This window comes from Homo sapiens, chromosome 6, assembly GCF_000001405.40.
Source record: "Homo sapiens chromosome 6, GRCh38.p14 Primary Assembly".
Classification (NCBI taxonomy): Eukaryota; Metazoa; Chordata; class Mammalia; order Primates; family Hominidae; genus Homo; species Homo sapiens.
Window position 1 is genome coordinate 126,052,958 of NC_000006.12, and position 6,413 is coordinate 126,059,370.

A 6,413-nucleotide genomic window follows, 5' to 3' on the forward strand; every position below is an offset into this window, starting at 1 on the left:
AATCAGCTTTCTGGGGAAGACCTGACCCATTTCTGCTAGGGGTAAATGGCCCAGAAGACTTGCTCCTATGGCGGGGGATGTCACCTGATGCATTGGAACCTAAGGCTAGACCTTGAAGTGTACCAAGTTCATCTCTGTGTCCTTTTTTTTTTGCCTCTCAACAAGGAATTAGACATAGTCCTATCCTCAATGAGCTCATGGTCTGGAGGATGGCGGTGGTATGAAACAAAGAGGTAAGTAGTCAGTTAAAATAGTGTGATCCGTCTTTCCACAGGGCAAGCCCAGTGTGAGTCTAAGAGGAGCACCTAGCCACTTCTAACAGTGGTAGTGTATTAACCATGTGTTTCTGATGTTTTGACATCTGGGGCTTTGCTGACCCTGGAGAGACCAGAACCAGCCAATTCCTAGAGATAAAGGTTTCACCTTCCTTCAAGTGTGTCTTTTATAGAAACTAAACAGTCCAGAGTCCACTCACTCTATTTCCTCTTTTATACAGCTTTTATGCTTTGGGTCACTATTTCTCAGACCTAATCACTTTTGGGCCAGGTACCAGGTAACTTAGGGACAACCCCTATACCCCAGAGCCTGCTGAGATTATTCAAACTAGCTAATCCTATGCCTGCTTATCCTGCCTTACCTGTTCCTTCCTCTGGAAACCACAATAAAGGCTCTTGTCCACATTTTCCCCTCCCCTCTGCCTCCTGAACGACCCTGGTCCTTCCCCACATGGCCCTGCATGGCGTGGTGTGTCCTCTCGAGAGCTTCGAGGAACAAACTGTCTTTTCAATTAAAATTGTCTTGTGATCTGTTGGTCTCACCATACCTGAATAATAATAAAACCTACATTTAAAAACACGTGAGAGAGGACTGGATCAAGGAAGAAGCCTGAGAGATGACATCTAAGTTAACCCCTAAAGAAGTGGAAGTTGCGTGATCATGTCAGGGGGTGAGGGCGGGAAGGGGGATTCCAGGCAGAGAGAATAGCACTGGAAAAGCATATTTGGGTAACAGTTCAACTAGTTGGTGTGCCAGGAGCTAAATGCATTAGCCAAAGAGGAGAAATGAAGCTGGACAGGTCATGAGAGCCAGATCCTAAAGGACTCATACGCCCTGCTGCAGAATCTGCACTTAATTCTGGGAGAAGCCCACTCCCTGTGACCTCCTCTCCCCTTTGGTAATGCCAAGGCTCTTTGGGAAGTTTTAATTTCTTTCAAAATGGTGTCCTTGGCTGAAGTGCTTGAGTTCCTTGACAAAGGGTGCCTGTAAAGAGGGAGTCTGTGGCTTTGCCTTTGCTCCAGGGTCTGTTTCTGCCTTGGTTCTAGGTCTCAGTTAATGCTGTCTTCTAAGTTGGGTGAATTGCATAGCTGAGGCTGCTTGAATTAAGGCATTGACACCACAAAGCTTCCATTTCCCCATCTATAGAGCCCCCCTAGGTGCCCAGTTACACTGTGGTAAGAGATTGCCCAGATAAGTACAGTAGAAACCTTCCTGACCCTGACTGACAGATACTTGCTCCAGAGCCAAGAAACAGTCACATGTTGGCCTCCTGCACCGAGGGAGATGATTTTTATTGATTTCGCTCTTCACACAGTGCTGACGGTGTAGGCCTGCTGAAGAGCAAGCTGATGAAAATAAAGATTGTGGGTTGCCAGCTCATGTTTGTCCTTATCTCCAAGGCAAAATACAAACACTGTTTCAGGGAGCTGCTTCTCCGCTCCAAGACAAATGAGCTGTTGAAGTGTCATGATTTTAAAATCTGGTGATATACATAAAGGATATTTTACTGATCAACCTCAAGGAATCTGTCATAAATAAAAAATAGTTTGTGATTCAAGCACTGTTGCCTATTTCAGAACTTCACCTTGGAGCCCACTCTGCTGTCTTCTGAGACACAGGGTGCTCCCTGAAAGAAAACAGCTCAGAACTCCCAACACGTCTCTTTCGCATCTTTCCTTGAAGATTCTTACCAAGAGCAACCAGGCTTTTTGAGTCACCATATGCTGACGAACATTTTTGTTGTTTTTTGAGACAGGGTCTGGCTCTATAGCCCAGGTTGTAGTGTAGTGGTGCAGTCTTAGCTCACTGCAGCCACAACTTCCTGGGTTTAAGCAATCCTCCCGCCTCAACCTCCTGAGAAGCTGGGACTACAGGCACATGGCACTTCACTCATCTAAGTTTTATATGTTTTGTAGAGACAGGGTTTCTCCATGTTGTCCAGGCTGGTCTTGAACTCTTGGGCTGAACTGATCCCCTTGCCTCGGCCTCCCAAAGTGCTATGATTACAGGCATGAGCCACTGTGCCTGGCCTTTACGACCTTTTAAAAACCCATTACTAATGAGGATGAGAGGAAGGACAGCATGGAATCCTCTAGCCCTTGCTTGTGGCCCGCCTGGTTTTCTCTAACACTCCCTGCCTGCTTCTCCTTCACTATTTACTGCATGCCTGGCATATGCCAGCCAGCAACCACTATGAACATCAGATGAATAAAAGATACATGTCTTATGTTGAACAGTTGTACACAGTTCTTGGTTAAACTCATTTTTGTTAAATTGTTAAGAACTCATTTATTCTGAGTCCCAAACTCTGGCACTTAAAAATAAAAAATAAAAAACAAGACTATACCACTTTCAATACACTGTTCTCTGGATGACGTACTGGGTGAGATTGGGAAGGGCAGAGAGGTTTTATGGGGTGCAACATCTGATCATAAAGGAATTGACGTTTTTTCCCTTTAGTATATACGATTTCTTTGTATGACTAAACCCGTTTCTTTGTTTATGTTTCCTCCCATAAAGTTCTACAGCCATCTTTTTCATGCTTCCTCAGTGTTCTATAAAGTTCTATAGTCCATTTTTAAAGCTTTTTATTTAAATTTTTTGAATAAGCAATAAATTTACATGGTTTGAAATTCAAAACAGTTCAAAAGCGTATACCCAATGAAAAGTTTCCCTCTTTCTTCTTCTCCTTCTCGTGGGTCTCTGAGACACCCAGCTCCCTGCCTTGAGACAACCACTGTCACAGATGGCTTAGCTCAATGTCAAACAATACAAGAGAGTCCCAATGTGAAGCCATCATTGAAGCACCCATGTGAAACAATGGCAAAAGCAAAGAACCAGGAGTAAGATGTCCCTTCCCAGTCCTCCCAGGACAGCTCTGAATTCATCTTTGTCTTATTTCGCACTGTTAACATAAGATAATAACCTTTCCTTAGCTATCTCTCTTGGAATGAGAACTATTGGGATGATTTGTATGAATGCATTTGGAAAAGTTTATAAGGGTTATAAAGACTAAGGAAGAGAAAACACAGAGCCTAAAACTAAATCCATTAGGCGAGGAGTTGAATCATGGTAAGGAGTCAAATTGTTCAAGATGTTGCCCAAGAAGTCCTTTTATTTGATTTCAAAGCTTCCACTGCTGAGATGTGGGGAGGTTATTGGGCCAATAGGGAAGGATAAAAGGTAGATTTATTTTCTGCCAGTTTTCAGATCCTCTCTTGAATTCTGCCATCACCTAGCCAGAAGCGGTAGCCTCTCTTAGGTGCATACCTAAGCAAAGAATGTGACCTCCTTTGCAGCCTCCTGATTGGCCACCTTTGGGGTCAGCTGAAGCTTATTTCCTGGGCTACTCAACTCCTTTCTTGTTTGTAGAGTGGTTTCCCATCAAGTAAAGACTTAGGCCAGGCGTGAAAGTTGGGAGAAAATACAGACTGCTGTAAGGCTATTACTTCAGGACTGATGTCACCATCCTCCTTGAGGCAGAGCTTGCCATTTACTTCAGAGGAAGTTTTGCTTGGGAAGGAATGCAGACTCTGATGTGCGGTTAAATGTGCATGTGTGAAGGGGAACTGGCCTGATAGCTGGGGGCTGGAGCCCTTCTTTATCCACAGAAGATAGGAAGCAAAGAACGGTGATAACGTGGCTTTCACTTCTGTGTGCCTCCACCTGGCCCCAAAGCTGTGTCTATTGAGATAGGAGCTCTGGGTTGGGCCCACTGAGGCTTTCTTGGTGCAGTAATTATGGAAGGGATCAATGTCCTTCTGTTCAGTGAACTCTGGTGCAATTTTATCAAAGGAACCCTAAGCCTATGCCTTTTGTATGTTTCTTCCTTTTTTAAGTGACAATTATTTATTTGCAGAGGCCCAGTAAATAATAAACTTGTCTTGAGCATTATCTTTCTTTTGCAAAGCAGCCTGAGCAAAGCTGCAGGATTTCTGGGAGAGAGTTCAAGGTTGACAAGCCTTTGCGGCTCTCCTCTCTTCCTCTTTCCTCTCACCTAGTCCTCCATGGCAAGAAGTAATCTGATGGTGTCTATGGTTGTCTTGATTTTCTGATGCCAGGAATTGAATTGAATTCTTATGTCTTAGGTTATCTTTGAAGCTACTTATCTCTGTATTAGGGAAAAGTCAGTACTTTTTGAAAAATCAATGTCGATGAATTATGGTGGGATATTTGGCTGGAGGCACTGATTGTATTAGCTGCCCTATTAGGGGATGTCTAGAGAAACTTCAAGTACCCTATTGATTGGAATGGATTAGTGGCTTTATGGTCAGTGTTGAATGTAAATCAGAGCTCTGAACACTATAATTCTGTAATTTGAGGAGAAATCATTCTGTCCAATGAACCAAACAGGCTTGGTTAAATAAGTTGCTTGAAATTCACTGAGACCAGAAGCTTTGTAATATGTTTGGCAACCATTAAAATAGTTAAAATGCTTCTGCCTAGGCGGTAATTAGTCTTCAGGAAAACACAGAAAATGTGTCATCTACACCACTGCCTTCAGTCCGTCAAACACGGCGTCTGCGTGTGAGTTGGTTTTAGCATTTTGACAGCACTGGGGCTCAAGGAACCTAGGTCAAGACCTAATGGCCTAAGAGATTACCTCTTCATTGCCTTTGTCTTCAGAGTCTTTCTATTAGAGCAGCTTTGCTAAAGGGCTGGCAAGGATTGGAAGGCTTAGCTAGACAGCTCCATCTCCCCAGTGGTATTTCTTTTTTTCTTTTTCTTTTTTTTTTTCAATTATATAAGTTCTGGGATACATGTGCAGAATGTGCAGCATTGTTACATAGGTATACACATGCCATGGTGGTTTGCTGCACCCATCAGCCCGACACTACATTAGGTATTTCTCCTAATGCTATCCCACTCCTAGCCCCCCACCTCCCGACAGGCCCCAGTGTGTGATGTTCCCCTCCCTGTGTCCATGTGTTCTCATTGTTCAACTCCCACTTATGAGTGAGAACATGCGGTGTTTGGTTTTCTGTTCCTGTGTTAGTTTGCTGAGAATGATGATTTCCAGCTTCATCCATGTCCCTGCAAAGGACATGAACTCCTCCTTTTTTATGGCTGCATAGTATTCCATGGTGTATATGCGCCATATTTTCTTTATCCAGTCTATCATTGATAGGCATTTGGGTTGGTTCCAAGCCTTTGCTATTGTGAACAGTGCTGCAATAAACATACATGTGCATGTGTCTTTATAGTAGAATGATTTATAATCCTTTAGTTATATACCCAGTAATGGGATGGCTGGGTCAAATGGTATTTCTAGTTCTAGATCCTTGAGGAATCGCCACACTGTCTTCCACGATGGTTGAACTAATTTACACTCCTACCAACAGTGTAAGAACTGAAGGAGATAGGGACACCAAAAACCCATCAAAAAATCAATGAATCCAGGAGCTGGTTTTTTGAAAACATTAACAAAATAAATAGACCGCTAGCCAGACTAATAAGAAGAAAAGAGAGAAGAATCAAATAGACACAATAAAAAATGATAAAGAGGATATCTCAACTGATCCCACAGAAATACAAACTACCATCTGAGAATACTGTAAGCATCTCTATGCAAATAAGCTGGAAAATCTTGAAGAAATGGATAAATTCCTGGACATATACATCCCCAGTGGTATTTCAAAAGGATAGGGCCCACGGAGATGACTGAGCTGGCTGGATTTTGTTACTGTACCTCTATACCTCAGAGAGGCCTAGGAGCCTGCCTTGGGTTTTGAGATTATTCTCTTGTATTCCCCTGGAGACTGAATCGAAGAATGAATTGGCTCCTTGCACCTCTTCTCTCTCTCTACTTATCTTTTTTTTTTTTTTTTTTTGTAGAGACAGGTTCTTGCTATGTTACCCAGGCTGGTCTCAGAATCCTGGCCTCAAGTGATCTTTCCGCCTTGGCCTCCCAAAGTGCTAGGTTAACAGGCATGAGCCACTGCACCCAGCCTACCTCTACTCTTTATTAGGACACTTAGTCTCCCTGTCAATGCCCAGGAGTTGGAACAAATAACAGCTTTACTATAAACTGAGTTAGTTACTAGATTTTTGAGTTTCTATCCTCTCTAAGATTCTGGACCCTGAAAGATCCCAGAGTTGATGCATGCCAAGACCAAATCACACTGTTCAGGGTGATC

At 43.2% G+C, this 6,413-nt stretch overlaps 1 protein-coding gene across 43 annotated transcripts in view; it reads left to right on the top strand.

The window, feature by feature from the left end:
- The window catches only part of TRMT11 (tRNA methyltransferase 11), a 285,804-nt gene that overhangs the window by 66,418 nt on the left and 212,973 nt on the right, over positions 1-6,413 (top strand). For 10 of the 43 annotated variants that reach the window (XR_007059301.1, XR_007059299.1, NR_146804.2 and 7 more), the window contains one exon: positions 166-233. The exons of the other annotated variants lie outside the window; for them this stretch is intronic. The gene's annotated coding sequence lies outside the window, so the exon portion shown is untranslated. The remainder of the gene's footprint in view (positions 1-165; positions 234-6,413) is intronic. 43 annotated transcript variants of the gene reach the window in all.